Raw genomic sequence first — 17,744 nt, forward strand, 5'->3', positions numbered from 1 at the left:
AATCTCCTCCTCAGGTTTGATTAATTTGCTAGAGCAACTCACAAAACTCAGTAAAACACTTACTTAAATTTATTACAAAAGGTATTTTAAAGGACACAAATAAACCTCCAGATGAAGAGATCCTAGGGCAAAGTCTGAAAGGGTCCTGAGAGTAGGAGTTTCTGTCCTCAGGGATTTGGGGTGTGCTGGCCTCCCCTGCACAAAGATGAGTTCTTGCTCACTTTCCTGTCAGCCTCCATGTGTTCAACTCTGAACCTTGTCCTCTTGGGCCTTTTATGAAGATTTCATTGGAATAGGCATGATCGACAACCACGAAGAAATGTGACTGTACACAAAGGGTATAATCTAATACTAATAGGCTAAGCGGGAATACCTGGTGAGGCCTGTCTGTCCAGATCCTTCTTGGTCTATCTGTGCAACATTTCTTCCTCCAGGATATGGGGCAGGACCCTTCTAAAATGACGGGCTGATAGCGTATTAACAAAAAGGTGGAGGAAGGTTAGAATGCTGCCTTGGGCTGGTAAAAGGAGGGCAGGGTAAGGTCAGAAAGAGAAATTGTTTTCTGAGGCCTAAAGTGCCCCAACATTATAACAAGGGCTATGGTAATTATGAGCCAAGAACCATACATGAAAAGCTACACACACACTCTCTCTCTCTCTCTCTCTCTCTCTCTCTCTCTCTCTCATAAACTAACATCACAATACTCAAGTTAATTGGGATAATATTTGTAATTTGCCACATCAACCATATTTCAAGTTTTAAACATATTTCTCAAAGTACAAAACTCTTTTATAAATTGATAGGTTTCCTAAAAGAGGTGGGTAGAGATAAGTGAAAAAATGGGCCAATAGGATAAAAGACATAGGAGAAAGCACACTCTGATAATGTCTGTTTGAATAGTCTCAACTCTTACAACATCTTAATGTTTCACATGCCAACAGCTAAATAAGTAAACTTGAATGTATGAGCAATGCAACATTCAACACAGACAGTAACAAATAATCATAATTATATTATAAACAAATTGTGTAACTGAAGTGAAGGAGGGTGAGGAAGAAATAATGAATGCAAGTAATTTTGGAAAATAGTATCTGACTATATAAGGCTGAAGACAAAATAACTGTACACATATATTAGACAATATCTAGTAAATCTGTATTTTTCTCACAATTCTGAAGCTAATCTATGTATATAATGGGACTGAGAAAATAATTATATATATTGCGGATAATGAGAGCCAGGTTTCTCATTATCCAAGATAAAAATCCCTAACAAGGAATGAGAGAAATATAGAATGAACCCTGTTGTGTTGGATTACAATATGTATGGTTTTTAATATACATGCAATGGGTAAATATAGAAGTAAATTTTACATGTATATTATATATACCAATTCTGCCTGGCTCTGTTCCCTGAGAGGGCCTGAGAGCAATGGTACACTGGTAAAAATGAGCACATGTAGCACACATATCTTATTTATAAATACCATTGTTAAATTAAAAAGGTTAAAAGAACCCTTAGAAAATGGTTGGGACCAGGGCTAGGGCAGGGAAAGTCCAATATAAGCTGGAGACATGCTGTACCAGAATATAAGAAAGTTCTCAAAAACTGAAGTGGTCATGTTGAAAGGGCACAGAAACCAAATTGGAAGAGATCCCATTGGCCAACTCTGGGACCCCAGTGGATTATAACTCATAAAATAAATAACCATGAGTCCATACTGATATCAGTAAACACTTGAACTAATTAAACAAATACAAGAGAATAGGCAGCATGATGGAATAAAGTTAAGATGGAAATACAAAGTCGCCCTTTTGTAAAGACCTAAGTAGTAATTTTTTTAGGCAAGAATCATGGGATGCTAAAAGTATTGGGTTACAGTATGATGAGAAACAAGATATTTGCATAGCCCTCAAAGTACCTTTCACCAAGATACATATGAATAACCAAAAACAAAATAGTAGCTCTGTGGTGGAGAAAACTGGGAGATAGCACGTAAAAGAGGTAATCAAGGTGGACATCATCACTTATGAGACTCATGAACATTGTGTGCCTTTTGATATGATACACTGGCATGCTTACAGCATCGCTTCTGAGGTTTTACTGCCAAAAAGCCTACCTTAAATCTAATTTTAAGGAAACATCAAACAAATCCAAATTAAAAGATGTTCTATAAAATCACTGGCAAGTACTTTTCAAAAGTGTCCAGGTCATGAGAATAATAGATAAAGGAACTGTTTCTGACTCAAAGAGACCAAGGAAGTACTACTGTCAAATGTAATGGGGAAATACTGATTAATCTTATGCTAGAAAAAACACTAATGGGAAGGTGGAGGAATTTTAATAACATTTACAGATTAATTTTAGTAGCATTCCATCAGTGTTAACTTACTGGTTTAGATATAGTATGATTTTAAAAAACTCTTTACTTTTTTCTCTTAATAACAACTCATTTAAAACGCACAACATTGTATCAATCTTCAGGAGTTGCCTAGTATCTGAATGAAGAGGCACCACATTCAATATGGGGATCATTAGTTTCCTAATTTTGATGGAGAGAAAGAAGGTCAACTACAAGTTATGTTCTTTCTGTATTTTTTTCTTGATGTTGCAGAATTTCCTAATACTTGTATAACCAATTTTCCCAGAGTCAAACAATATAAATTTTATTTTTTTCAAGCATCATATTTCATTTGCTGAGGTCAGTTTCTGGATTTTTTATTCTGGTTCATGGATATGTATGAACATTCTTACACTAGCGACAAAAATAAAATTTGTTAGGTGAGTTTTCTTGATGGTTCTTCCCTGATTCTTCTTTTAGAGAATGATTATAGACCATTTTGTCTAGATGGTCTTGTCTGTTGACAAGCCAAAATGACTGAGCTATCCATAGGGCTTATGTTTATTAAGTGGTTATTGTGTGCCAGAAACTGCTAAACATTTTATGCATTGGCTTATTTTATCTTTAAAACCTCATAATGGTTTAGGATGCTATTTTTTTTTCCTTTTTTTTTTTAACAGATAAGGAAACTGATTCATGGGGAATTTAAGAATTACGATATTCAAATCCATACAGCTAGGTAGCGATGATGTTATACTTGAGACACAGGACAACTAAGTCCACAATCTGCTTCCTGGAATGTTATTCTTCAAGTTGCTGAGAGGAAGGGCTTCCTGCATCATTCCTGCTGCCTCCTCTTAGATCTGAGGTTGCATGGGAATTTCAGGAAGGGCTAATTTTCTCTCTCTCTTTTTTTTTTTGTCATCATTGTAATCACACTCTATGGTCAACAAAATCTTCTTTCTCTGAGGATATATTTTTCTTCCATATGACAGCTCAGAGACTTCTGGCTCCCAAGACACTGCAGTATTCATGGATGACAGTGCTCAAAAGTTTTGTAAAGCAAAGAAGCTGTGCTAAATTTAATCAGTGGGTCCTATGTCACTTTACGGGAGCAAAGCTTAGAGGGGAAAAAAACTTGACATGTTTTACTCATTCAATTTTCTGACTTTCGGTTAAAAAATCAAATCCTAGAGAAAAGAAAATATTTGTCCAAGACTCCATAGCTAGCAAAGGACAGAGACAGATCTAGAACTCAAGTCTTTTTCCAATCCATTGTGAAAAATTTAAACTTTATATCGCATGTTTTAGGAGGATATTGATTTTTCTTTGTTTCAAGAAGCTTGAGATTATGTTTCACTGTTACATTAGTACAAAATTTGCTGTATAGGTAGGAGTTCTGTTCCAGATAGCAGAGTATAATTTAATAATTCTGGTCTTCACATTTGCCAAAGTAGCAATTTAAGAAATGATAATATCGTACCCTAAAGGCATTGATACAGTTTCATCAAGTATTTAGCCTCCTCTTATGCATTGAGGAAAGAAATGGGTAATTTAGTTTTTATCATGCCTAGATATTTTTCCTGCATCCCAAATCAAAGCAAAGTCCCAAGCCTAAATTCATTTTAGTTATCTTTATGTTGGCCCATCAAATATAAATTTAAGTAATTTGGTGTCTTGATTGTAAAATCTCAAATAATAGCTATAGAAAGAAGGATTTCATCTGAAGCATGTCTGTACTTCAATTTACTAGTTTCTAGAAAACAAATTGGAGTAGGTTATATTTTGTAGAGATGGCAGATCTCACATGCTTTTTTTGCAATATGATGTTAGCTTTCCTTCATCAAGAGGTGAGATTTATTTTTCCTCCCTTTGAGTGAGCCTGTGACTAATTTGGAAGTAGCACTGTGACTTCTAAGGCAAAATGTTTTTGTCTAGTTTTGTTAGAACATTTGGACTATAAGCATGGCTACCATGCTGGGAAGAAGCTTAGATGCCCCACTGATGGGCCACATGTAGCCACATATTCTGGCTACAACCCCAGTTGAGTATCCCACCGGTTAGCCAATATCAACTGTCAGACATGAGAGCCTCGAATTGCCCCAGCTGACATGAGTGGACCAGAGAGCTGCTGTCCCCACAGAGCTCTGACCAAATTACAAAATATATGTTGCCACTGTTTTGAGTACTAATATTCAGAGTGGTTTCTTGGGCAGAAAGAGATATCAGGAACCCGAACAAATGCAACGTTCCTGGAATCTGTGCATGGCGTGGTAAAATGAGAACAGAAAATGTGTCTAGTAAATACGTTGATGCAGAAGACTGGTTTATTATCTGGGCTATCTGAATCTCTATTCCTTCTCTGTCCAAGAAGAAAGAAACTCAGATACTCTCATCCAGTAGGGGAGATTTCGGGCTTCAGTACAATCTGTTATCTGTCCTTTACTGTCTGTTACCCATCTTGTCAGGTGACCCTATTTCTTTTGCCCTAGTGTACCTGCATCTTGGCTCTAATGCCTTGTGGGCATCTCTGTGGGGAATCATTTCCCCTTTGGTGAATTCTTTATCTCCTCTGGACTTTTTTAAAATATAGAGTTCATTGAACACAATGCTTCTTATTCTGTTTTAAGAAGTTCATGGATGCTGTTAAAAAGGAGATGTGGGGATTAAAAACTGGAAATAATAAGACAGCTGCATTAGAGAATCCATCAAAAAGGCCAAACCCACACAATGTGCTATTACAAGTCATCACTTAGATAAAGTATGCAGCTCTTCTGCCTTAATTTTTTTAAAACCGGAACTTTAATGAGAATGGAAAGGGCGTGACAAGACCGTTTCTTCTAACTAAGATTGCAAGAAGGGAAAAAGATTAGGTGATGGGGCCCATTCTGATGAATATGTAGCTGGTGCACTTGAGTTCCTCTGGAGCCCCAGGCCTCCCATATTCTTCCTTTCTCCTCTCAAAGACTATGAAAATCTCAAATCATGTTGTTTAATGAATAGAAGCTATAGAATTACAGTAAAGCACATGAATGCTAGTATCCAATGTGAAAGAAAAAGGTGAGTATCTCAATAATAATGTCTTCATGCAAACTGACAGGATTCTCATTTCTTTGCTAATAACATGTGAAATCCAGATTTTATTTCTTCTTCTTATATGCTCGCAAGACTTGTTGAAATCAGAAAGCCAATATTAAAAATCTTTTGTTGTTATTGATGTTTTTGTTGTCATTATTTTCTTCCTATACTGGAAAGACTTGTGTTGATTCTTACACACAGCAGGCTTAAGAGATCCCTATTATGATAAAGTGGGTGCCTTTGTGGTCTATGGGGGTAGTGTCTAGGTAAAAGACAGAAAAAAACAAATTGAAATGGTGCTTTGGCCACACACAGATTCAGCTGTTGACTCAAATTGGTGGGACCAAAGCAGTGTTGCTCACAGGAGATCGGTGTCCACTCCCAGAGCTCCAGCTTGCTGTTTGGAAAATTAAAAAAATGTTTATAGTGATGGAGAAATTTAAATTAGATACCAGTTAAGTATGAACACTTAACCAGCAGGTGGGGAGCAGAGAGGGAGGAAGGAGCCAGTGTGCCAAAGCCTTTATTGGGGTTCAGGGCATGTATTAATCCATTTTCACACTGCTGCACTGCTGATAAAGACTTGCCTAATACTGGGTAATTTATAAAGAAAAGGGGGTTTAATGGACTCACAGTTCCATGAGGCTGGGGAAGCCTCACAATTAGGGTGGAAGACAAAAGGCACGTCTTTACATGGTGGCGGGCAAAAGAGAATGAGAGCCAAGTGAAAGGGGAAACCCCTTTTAAAGACATCAGATCTGGTGAGACTCATTCACTACCACAAGAACAGTATGGGGGAAACTGCCCGCATGATTCAATTATGTCCCACTGGGTCCCTCCCACAACACATAGGAATTATGGGAGCTACAATTCAAGATGAGATTTGAGTGGGGAAACAGCCAAACCGTATCAGGGCATTACCTGGATATGTTTCCTGTGACAGAGTTGGATTTGTTAACTTGAAGAGTGTGTGAGTATAAGCAAGGGAACTCAGTAAGCCCGTTCTTGGTAGTTCCAGGAGCAGAGTAAGCCACTCAAGTGGTTCAGGTTATACAGCCTTGTTTGTCTAGAACCCAAAAACAGGAAATGGATGAAGACTGCCTTCAAATACATAGATCAAGAGTGACAAGACAGAGACAGGATGAGATGGATACCGAGGCAATTTGAATATTCATATTCAAATGAGAGTTATGACAGCATCTTAACCAGACAGGGAAAAGTATGCTTAAAATAGTAAAAAAAAAAAAAAAAAAAAAAAAAAAAAAGATGCCAAACCTTGAGGAAGCAGCCATGATGTTGAGAACGTCCCCACACAAACAACTAACTCAACACAAGAATGACGCTAAAATATGTGTTCAATAGATGGTAATGATTTTTTATAGTTTTTATCATTGTTTTATTTGCTTATACCTCAAAACCAGACTTAACAATGCTTTCAGCTCCCCAGACAAATGTATTTTTCATTGCACCAAAGTTGCCCTCTTCTAACTGATATCTAATTTTAATTTCTCTGTCACTATAAACAATTTTTTTTTTTATTTTCCAAACAGCAAGCTGGGGCTCACATTGGGAGAGGGTACTGATATTCTCAGAGCAGCATTGCTTTGGTGCCATCAATTTGGGTCAATGGCTGAATCTGTGTGTGGCCAAAGCACCATTTGAGTTTGTAAATGGCATGAAATAGAGCATTGTTTTCCGCTGGGAATATTGGTCCAGTATTAGCCTATAGACAGATAGCAGTCATATATCATATTATCATGTGGCCAGTGGTATTTTTTCCTAGATCCAGAGGATCATGAAATAAACAGAACTCAGTTACTGAATGTTTTGTGATTCGTTTGTAACTATTGCTGAAACTAACAAAAACTCATGTCTTGCATTATTTGTACATAGTTTTCCAGTTGTTCTATGTGGTTAATATTAAGGATTCTTTACTCATCCAACCATACACAGTTATATATTAAGTATGGACAGATAGATACAGATATAGATATAGGTATATACGCTTAATAAATATATTCGTTCTTTAAAATTCACTCCAAAGTCTAATTCTGCCAGAATAATTGGTTGTGTCTTAAGATAGACATTTTAGGAAGATCCAAATGAGAGATTGAGAAAGAAACCAATATTTACTGAATACCTGACAAATACACTGCTAAACCTTTTACCTGCTTATGATATAAATTAGAAATAACCAGCAAAAACATTTTAAATACAATGAGTAGAAAAGTACATTTAAATACATTTTTCTTATTTACTTCTTGTTTTCTAAATTGCATTTCTCTTTTAACATTAATTTGTTGTTTTTGAAATTGTTCTTTACTGACGAAAATTTAGTGTTAGATGGAAACTAAAATAATAGTTAAAAGCATCATCATCAGGAGCATAATAAAACTTAAGGCTGTCTCTTAAAATTAATGCATATAGGTTTTATTCCTCAGAAAGGGGAAAATACTAGAATAAAATTTTAAGAAATATTGAGAAACAGTGAAACTATTCAAAAGGGGAAGTAGTCTTCCACCTTCTATAATTAAAATTCATAGGCCATAGTGATAACTTGCCTATGAATTGCAGGGGCCGTTTTGGGGGGACCTATTAAAGGGGATATCTAGTAACTACCTTTCTCCTCGTTAAGTCTCTAGCCTGTCACCCATAGTACAAGAGATATAAGGAATCTTGTTTAACTTTAGAATCTTTCATTTTTTCTGTCTTCCTTAGGTAGTGCTGGCACTCCAGTGATGTTTAACAAGAACGGGGATGCACCTGGGCGTTATGACATCTTTCAGTACCAGACCACAAACACCAGCAACCCGGGTTACCGTCTGATCGGGCAGTGGACAGACGAACTTCAGCTCAATGTGAGTTCTGCTTGCTTCTCTTCTTCCCTTGTTGAGATGAATGAACAGACTTTTAATTTGCTCAGTTATACAAATGTTTCTTGTTTAATGTTTGTGTGCATATACAAGTGAGCATGCAATTTGTTGTGGGCATCAGCAGGAACTGATATCCAATAATAATGATGGTGATGACGATGATGGGAAATGTGCATTGAGTTTTGTGCATTATATTCATGACCTGTGCGAATTATCTCATTTAATCTGAGACTGGGGTTACTTAGCAAACAGGTTACTACTTAGCAATTTCACAAGATCCTTCTCTTGGTTAAACTTTTTATTTCTTCTGCCTCCCCCCATTCCTTCCTTTTTCTTCTTTATTTGATGGTACTGATATTTTTATTATTATTTTGAGACATTTGAGTGTATTTATGTGAGATTTGTAATGGGATTATCTGAGTAATTGCAGTGCTTCCATTTCTGTAACCTCTCCCACTTTCTATAAAATGTGACCTAAGTAAGCAGCCACTTTCCTTCACAAGATTATGTCAAATCCATCAGCCAATGTCCCAGCTCCAAAACAATCCAAAAATTCTCTCTTAGCCTTTTTGTTCTATTTAGGCCTTGAAATAATTGGGTAAGACTCATCCACATTGGGGAGGGCAATTTACTTTACTCACCCACTGATTCAAATGTTCATCTAATCCAGAAACCTCACAGACACACCTAGAATATTCGACCAACTATCAGGGCACTGCATGGCAAAGTAGAATATGAGATTAACCATCACAGTCTCTCTCCTAGAAAAATCCTTTAATGTCCTTTGTAAAGCAACAAATTATGCCATTAGCCTTTATTAATCTATACCTTAGGAGGCACTTTTGGAATTATTGAGAACAAGGCTTCTTGGGTGTGGGAAGCAAATCCATTTCTTGGGAAGTGGAAGGTTATGTCATGGTTTCTATGAAGAAAGGGTTATTCACATAGGGAGCCGTGAAGCCACTACAGGCCAGTTACCTCATTTGCACAGAGCCTTAGCCTAGATCTGCTTGCACCTGTCCAGTTCTCCCCATTGTGAGGTGCACCATACACATGAACTGGCACTAAAATTGGGTCCAAAAGATTATGCTCTGGCATTTGGGAATGGTTGGAATCAACAGGTACCGTCCATGGCTTATATAAATGCAAACGGCCAAGATCAAAAAAGAAGCTAAGATTATTCTGAATCCAAGGCACACTAAACTTGCAAGTGAAAGGAGAAAATAAAAACAACACAAACAAAAACCTAAAAGGTAAACTCAAGGTGGGGGAGTAGTAATCAAAAGCAGAATCAAAGCAGTATAACCTGGATGACACACTCAAAGTGTGTTTTTACTGGGTGCTGCCATGTGATATGAAGATGGGTCAGCCTCAAATAAAGGTAAGAGAATCAAGGTCTATGGTACATAGGTGAAGTGCTCAGGGCTTATTGTAAGATCCAGTGGATTAAATAGGTTCATTAATCTTTTCCAGCATAAACCCTGCACTCTTGTTAAATTTCTGGCACATATAATTTGTCCAATATCCGTAAGAGTTCCCAAGTAGCATTCACCAACTTCAGATGGGGTCTTACATGGGGGTTCTTAAGCACACTATTTTAAGAACAAACATTAACACTGATTTTATTTTTATTTGTTTGGTTTGTATTTTATCCTTTGTAAGAACTGCATTTGATTAGCTATTCAACAAGTTTTTGTTGTTTGTTTGGTTTTGGTTTTAAATACCTATCAAGTTAGAAGCACTGCAAGAGTCAATGTGTAGGTACACAGTGGAGGTGAAACAAATGTGGTCCCTGTTCTTTCACAATTCAGCATCTAGGATGGAGTTACATGGTACTCAGCAAACAGATATGTACATGGAAATTCTGAGGTGTGATAATGGAAAAGGTGGTAGAGAGGATAATGGAGGTAGAAAAGGAAGGACCTACTACAAGAGAAGCCAGCAAAGTGAAAACTAGAGTGACCAGCAGGTCAGATGGCTGATGTGATGATGATTTAATCAGCAAGGAAAATGAGAGGAAGGGTAAGAGGAGATGTTGGAGCAATAGGTAAGAGCCATACTCATGCAACCCCTTGTATGTCATGATACATTTTAAACATTTTATTCTGAGTGCATTTAAAAGCCACTAAGAAGTACTAAGCAAGGAAGTGAGGGAGTGGCTGCATCAGATTTAGGAATAAAATTACTTTGGCTGCTGGGAAGATAATGGAGGGGGCAAAAGTAGCAGCAGAAAGACCAATTATGATTCTTTTGCAGGTGTCTAGCTAGAATAGGGGAGCTAAGTGAGGTGGTTCTCAAACTTCAGTGTGCCTCAGAGCCATCTGGAGGGCTTGTAACAGCACATATTACCGGGCCCTGCTCTCAGATAACCTGATTCAGAAGAACTAGAGGTGCGGGAAGCCTCAATATTTGCTTTTTATCAGAAGTCATTGGGCAATGTTGATGACACTTTGAGAACCACTGGCTCAGGGACATGTGTGATAGTGAAGATGAAGCCAAATGAATGGGATACATATGTAACGTGAGGCACTGTGTGGATGATGGCAACACATGAGATGAGGGAGGCAGCTGGGAGTAGAAGGGAGAAAATCAAGAATCCCAATTGGGATTATTATATATGTGAGACTTCTTAAATATACTACAGCCAAAATGAAATGGGTATAGGTCTGAAGCTCAGACAACAGTTGTGAATCATAATTATAAAACAATGTAAACAACCTATAAATGGTCTTTAAATTCATTACAAAGAGAGATAAGAGAAGAGCAGAGAACCCAAGGCCTTGAAAACCTCCTAGAAAATGACACAATTCCAGCCAGGTGCAGTGGCTCATGCCTGTAATCCCAGCACTTTGGGAGGCTGAGGTGGGCAGATCACGAGGTCAGGAGATCAAGACCATCCTGGCTAACACTGTGAAACCCCGTCTCTAAAAATACAAAAAAATTAGCCGGGCATGGTGGCGGGCGCCTGTAGTCCCAGCTACTCGGGAGGCTGAGGCAGGAGAATGGCATGAACCCAGGAGGTGGAGCTTACAGTGAGCCAAGATTGTGCCACTGCACTCCAGCCTGGGTGACAGAGCAAGACTCTGTCTCAAAAAAAAAAAAAAAAAAATTAACTGAGCATGGTGGCGCACACCTGTAATCCCAACTACTTGGGAGGCTGAGGCAGGATAATCGCTTGAACCCAGGAGGCGGAGGTTGCAGTGAGCCGAGATCATGCCACTGCACTCCAGCCCTGGCGAGAGTGCGAGACTCTGTCTCAGAAAAGAAAATGACACAATTCCATTCCGTCTACTCCAAATAGCACTCAGTTTAAAATATTCTGTTTAATTTGTCCAGAGAATTGGGCTAACCATATACTTTCGATTTTTGTTTGAGTTTATGCTAGCTAAATCAGGGGTTTGTTCTTGGCTTGGAACTAAGTGGGAGCATTCTTTATTCTACTTTGTCATGCTAAGAGTGATGTGTTAGGAAAAACAGGCACGCTCAGGTGGATGCAGTAGTTTATACTTGGTATTGCATGGGACCTAAAAGAGCGAATGACAACCATGAAGGGAGTCATTTTTAGGGGGAAAAGAGGCTGGGTTTAATTCAATTAGTGTGGCTACTGAGATAACGGGACTTGGTAGGATGTCACCCTGTTGACACCTTTTATTGTGAGATTTAATTTGAATTGTGTTCAGGGGGATTAAAAAAGAAAATAAAAGTTAAGTAGAGTACCCAGAGGCACCCTACCCCTCTCACCTGGGTTCCCAGAGCCACAGCCCAGTTGCCCTATCCAATGATTGGTTTCTCTCCAACATCATCCTGCCCTTGAAGTTCCTTTTGCTGTAATTATTCTATTAAATGTTCTGTGAGAGTGGAATTTGGGCAAACGGTTTTGTAGGTTTGCTTTCCTCTAGTCAATGGAACAAAATAAAGTATTTCAAGTAAAAAGTGTATGTCTCCTCACAAAGATTCATGGGTACTTTTTCAATTCTCAGTTACATCATCTCAAGCAAATGAAATTTTCGAGGGCGGCTTTCTCTGTGGTCAGTAATTGCAAATGAATTTCTGAGCCAAGAAATCAGAGTTTTAGGTTTTTAGAATCCCAGCTCTGTAGATCAGACTGCTCTGCTGTTCCCTGTGCAATTTCTGGAATTTAAGTGCTTAGCAGTGTGCTGTCTGCGGTAAAATGTCTCATGTACCCTCACTACACTCTGTCTCCTCTGTGGCCCAAGAGATGACTGCATGGTTAGCTACCAGGATATTTCTGCTGAACAAGAATTCTGTGGAAGGGAATCATAACCAACAAAACCATTCACTCTTCTGATTGTAACCTCTACAGAAACAACCCTAATTTAATTTCTTAGGTTTCTATTCTACCAAGAAACTTTATGAAATACTCTTCCTGGGGGAGAGAAGAAGGGACAATGCAACAAACATGATTGTCTATGTGCAGTGTGTCAGGAGAGGTGATAGCTCATGGAGATATTAGAATAAACAAGAGGCAGATCCATGCACCCCAAGTTCACAGTCTAGGTAGGGTAAGGGCTCTGTAGTAGATATATGGCATTTTAGGGCTACAGACAGGCACTGGTTTAGAGACACCCACCACAAAGTTATATTCGAACTGGATCTTTTGAAGGTTAAGTAGTAGTTCCCAAGAGGAAGTGGAAAAGAATTGCTTTAGAATAAATAATGCAGTAATATTTAAAAATTAGGGTAGGAGTATATTTCTGAAAAAGGCAAGAAATGGAATGTGGATGCTTAAAAAATTCTAAATCGATGTTGTAAGTAAAATATATTATGTGTGATAGAAACCATGATGGTTACTTTGTCATCTTTTATCTGAAATTAGGAAGTTCAGAAATGTTAAAAATGTTAATTTTCCAGATAACCAAAATTCTCTAATATGCCAAAATGTCAATTAAAGCATTTTTAGAAAGGAACTATTCTTAATAGCAGCTTCCTACAGTGAACTGCATATTCTCTTAAATAGAAGACTGAATGAATATTATTTCCTCTTTTCTGGATAACTGAAGTTCTACAAACCTCAATTTTCTGCCATTGGTTACGATAGACCAACTTTCTGATCTTCTGAGGTATATGGGGTTTCTTGACTTTTTCTGGTGATTTGTTTTCTCTGTTAAAACTTACACTTCACACCTATAGACTAAAAACTCCTTGAAGGTAGAATCCATGTTTTAGTCATTGCTTGGATGCCTGTAAACAGGGTACCTAGCACACAGCAGGCATTTGTTATTTTTTTGTTAATATATAAAATCATGTATAATGAACCTGTACTTTTTAAAATGATGGACGTTATCTGCAGCCATTAGTCCCTCTTCCTCCTTCTGAGAAGGGCACACAAGTTTCTCTTTCTTGTTTTTTGAGACGGAGTCGCTCTGTCGCCCGGGCTGGAGTGCAGTGGCGCGATCTTGGCTCACTGCAACCTCCGCCTCCCAGGTTCAAACGACTCTCATGCCTCAGCCTCCTGAGTATCTGGGACTACAGGCACGTGCCACCACACCCAGCTAATTTTTTGTATTTTTAGTAGAGATGGGGTTTCACTGTGTTAGCCAGGATGGTCTTGATCTGCTGACCTTGTAATCAGTCCGCCTGAGCCTCCCAAAGTGCTGGGATTACAGGCGTGAGCCACCACGCCGGGCGCCAAGTTTTCCTTTTTAGCCATGTGGTTTGCCCTGGGTGTTTCCCAAGTCCAGGAAAGTCAAGTAATTCAGTTTAAGCCAATCACTGTAGCCATAGTGATAGGGATGGGTACCCGTACTACGTCTCCCTAATCAAGACATCACTGGATGTCTGCTGGCCAATCTGAGACATCAACATGCTCTTCTTGGAGGCGGTTGCTTCCTAGGGAGTCATTCTGAGGCCACCATGTAGGAGCTTCAGGGAAGAGAACTCAAAACTTGAAAAGAAAAACTAGATCTAGGTCATATTGTTTGTGCCCTAGGAAATCCTTACCACAAGCCATTTATAATGCTCTCTGGATTGTTTAGTTATCAATAAATTAAGACAATTTATGTAACATACTCTTTCTTTACAATCTTATTCACCATAGTAATCAAAAATGGAAAAAAAGAAAAAAGAATTGGTTTTTGTTTTAGTGTGCCCAGGATGGAAAAGAAAAAAAAATCAGCCATCCATTATTAAGCAGAAATTTTTTAGATTTTATTAAACTGAGGTGATTCAAATTAATTTCAAAAGTTGTAATGTTTGTTCCATATTGAATCTTTCACACTTATTAGAATTTTGGCTGTCACAGACACCTAAGACATAAGAAAAGCAGTTGATTGCCAAAATCTGTTTAATACAATTAAATGTTTCCAAATCAATATGGACTTATACCTGCCTATAAAACTGCTAATCACTCTATTGTTTCATAATTACAACAGTAAAAATGTTTTAGAAATCTTATTATACTCATAATTTACAATGTATTACATGAGGTATGTAATAGCAGCAATCAAGGCAATGTTGACAAAGAGAAAAATATGTAAGGTGTCAAAATCTAGTACTTCTTCAGCTTCAACTTGAAGGCTTCTTTTGTGGAACCACCTTTCTGCCCATCATAATTATCAGCTCTTTTCTTGTAATTTATAGTTTTATTGTTAGTAATTAGAACAGTAGGCTTTAAAGCTGAACTGATTAAATGGATCTGAGTCTCAGTTCTACCATTACTAGCTGTAAAGCAGGCTTATGGTAGTACCTATTTCACTGAGTTATGGTTAGCATTACATATTAATAAATAATATATATAACATGCTAAAAACAGTGTCTGGCATGTAGTAAATGTTCAGCAAATGTTAGCCGCAACAGCAACAAAAATAACAATAATTTCACATCCTTAGTTTGTCCCATGATGATATGGTTTGCCTGTGCCCCCACCCAAATCTCATCTTAAATTATAATCCCCATGTGTTGAGGGGGCATCTGTAATACCCACATGTCAAGGCAGGGAGGTGATTGGGTCATTGGGGTGGTTTCCCACATGCTGATCTCATGGTAGTGAGTGAGTTTTCATGAGATCTGATGCTTTTGTAAGTGTCTGGCATTTCCACTGCTTTCACTCCTTTCTCCTGCCACCATACAAAGAAGGTCCTTGCTACCCCTTCACGACTGTGAATTTTCTGAGGCCTCCCTAGCCATGTGGAACTGTGAGTCAATTAAACCTCTTTCTTTTATAAATTATCCATTCTCAGGTATTTCTTTAGAGCAGTGTGAAAACAGACTAATACACATGATCCATAATTGCTCAAAACGTCAATTACTAGCATTTAGCTGGGTTATTTTTCTGCACCCCCAAGCACCAAGCGTAGTGCTGAGCATATAGAAATGGCTTGTTAAATATTAAAAGGATAACTAGGTAAACAGACCAACAGTTAAACTATACACATTACTTAAGGACAGGGACTAGGTCATTGTTGACTTAGCGTCCCAGTGCCTATTGGATGAATGGATCAGAGGATGCAACCAGACTTCTACCCAAGTTAGCAATTCTACATGATTCAGGGATTCATTTGAGAACTTGGTTTACCAAATAGGTTCCTCAAGGGTTCCCTAAGTGCTCTGTAAGCTTGTTCCAAGTGCAAAGTTAGATGATTTTGGTGTTTGTTATGTTAAGGCCAGTCAGAAGAAAAGGAGGGAAAGAAATAGAAGAGTTAGTTTTTGTTTTATTTCAGTTGATTTTTTTATTTTAGACACCTACCAGTGGCTATTTGAGAGCATGAGGTGAAATTGCTGCTCTTGAGGAATGAAGTTGAAGTTATCATTGGCCATTTATTTGCTAAAGTTAAAGTTAACTAATCATCAAACCATTGAAGCTAGTTGCATCTGCCACCTACTTCTCTACACTTTAATGCTACATTACAGGAAGCATCAAAACAGGAAAGGACTTAGGATTGGGTCTCTAATCACACCCTGCCTGTTTCTGATCATATCTGTGAACCAGGATGAGGAAGGTCTCTCTGAAAAGATGGCATTTAACCTGACACCACAGTAACAAGAGTTATTTTTATTTGTCAGCATCTCTGAATCTGTGATATTTTACAAAATATATTTATAAATCAAAAATAGTACTGTTATTTTGATTTGTAAATCAAAATTAAGTACTGCTTCCCATTTGTCAGTTAACTTGAGATGCGAGACCCCAAACTGATTACAGACAGCAGGTGTGGTTCAAAAATTAATTACTTGCCAATATTTTAAATGTCAGGAAATGACATAAGAATGTTTTTGACTTATCTTTAAAAGATCAGATCTGGCAATGATGTGTCCTTACTCCCCATGCAGCAAAAGCTGGCTAAATCAAAGGAGCAGCTTTCCACTTGATACAAGGTGTGCGCTCTCTATGTTACAACACATCCCCCTCCTCCTACCACTCTCTTACATAATCCCCCTAACTCCCACTAGCATTTTATTTCATTCACCTAATCTAGACTTAGAGTAGATTCTAACTTATTTCCACTAATTCAGAAATTAGTTTCAATGTATGCTTAACTTTTTATTGATAGTCTCTGGAAATTGGTTTCTAAAAATCAGCAATAATATGTCAATACCGTTAATATCCCAAAACATTCCATAATATGTAATAATACTTTCTTAAAAGGGTTGATAAATGCAGTCTGAAAGAGAGGACTGCCTTAGTAAAGAAAATGCTTTTGTGTGGAAACATGTACTTGTGTGTATTCAGAAACATATTGGAAATTAAAGAAACAGAGATTTTCCTTTTGTCAGCATCTCTCCTAGGAATCAATGGTGTATAACTGTGTTCTTTCTATGAATGTCTGCAAGATTAATAATATTTATAATTATCAATATGGTTCCACAAACATGTACATTAGAGAGCCTAAACCTCCATAAATTCTTGTTTGCATTCTGGGCATTCAAGCAAATCACTTCATGTTTAATAATAGACTCCAGATTCTCTGTGGAAATTGTTGAATGCCATTACTATCTGCATTTTGGGCTCAGGCAAAATATATATGAAAAAAGAAATACAACAAGATAAATGAGTTTAAAGAGCTGGACTCTTGTAAGAGGGACTCAACTCATTATCATCAAACCAAAATTATGAAAAGAAAGAAAGTCAACTAATGTACGATCTGCCTAACTTTTTTGCTTTGGGAAGCCAAAAAATTCTAGAATGACCTGGTTATGTTCAAATGAAAATACAGGAAGTAGATTTAAAGTGCTTCCATCCAATTGGGAGAAACTCTCATGAAGTGGGGCATCGTCAGAATGCCCCTGTTTGAGTCCTGCCTTTTCTGCTTGTTGCTTGAGGAAATCATTTAACATTCCTGAACCGCAATTCCCTTCTTTATTTAAAAAAAGTAAAATAAAATAAAGTCAAATCAAGCAAAATACCCACCTCATAAGAACACTTTGAAAATGAATAGTGAAAACTTCCCTGATACAAGAATGCATATGATATTTGTGGTCATGTTTCTTGTATT

The 17,744-nt window shown here is 37.7% G+C and overlaps 1 protein-coding gene across 7 annotated transcripts in view; it reads left to right on the forward strand.

Moving 5' to 3' along the window:
- Positions 1-17,744, forward strand: part of GRM7 (glutamate metabotropic receptor 7) — an 880,419-nt gene that overhangs the window by 592,331 nt on the left and 270,344 nt on the right. For all 7 annotated transcript variants that reach the window (XR_001740135.3, NM_181874.3, NM_000844.4 and 4 more), the window contains exon 7: positions 8,138-8,277. Coding sequence is in view for 6 of the 7 variants with exons in the window: in NM_181874.3 (NP_870989.1) it covers positions 8,138-8,277 (140 nt within the window). In the remaining variant the exon portion in view is untranslated. The remainder of the gene's footprint in view (positions 1-8,137; positions 8,278-17,744) is intronic.

This window comes from Homo sapiens, chromosome 3 (genome assembly GCF_000001405.40).
Source record: "Homo sapiens chromosome 3, GRCh38.p14 Primary Assembly".
Taxonomy (NCBI): Eukaryota; Metazoa; Chordata; class Mammalia; order Primates; family Hominidae; genus Homo; species Homo sapiens.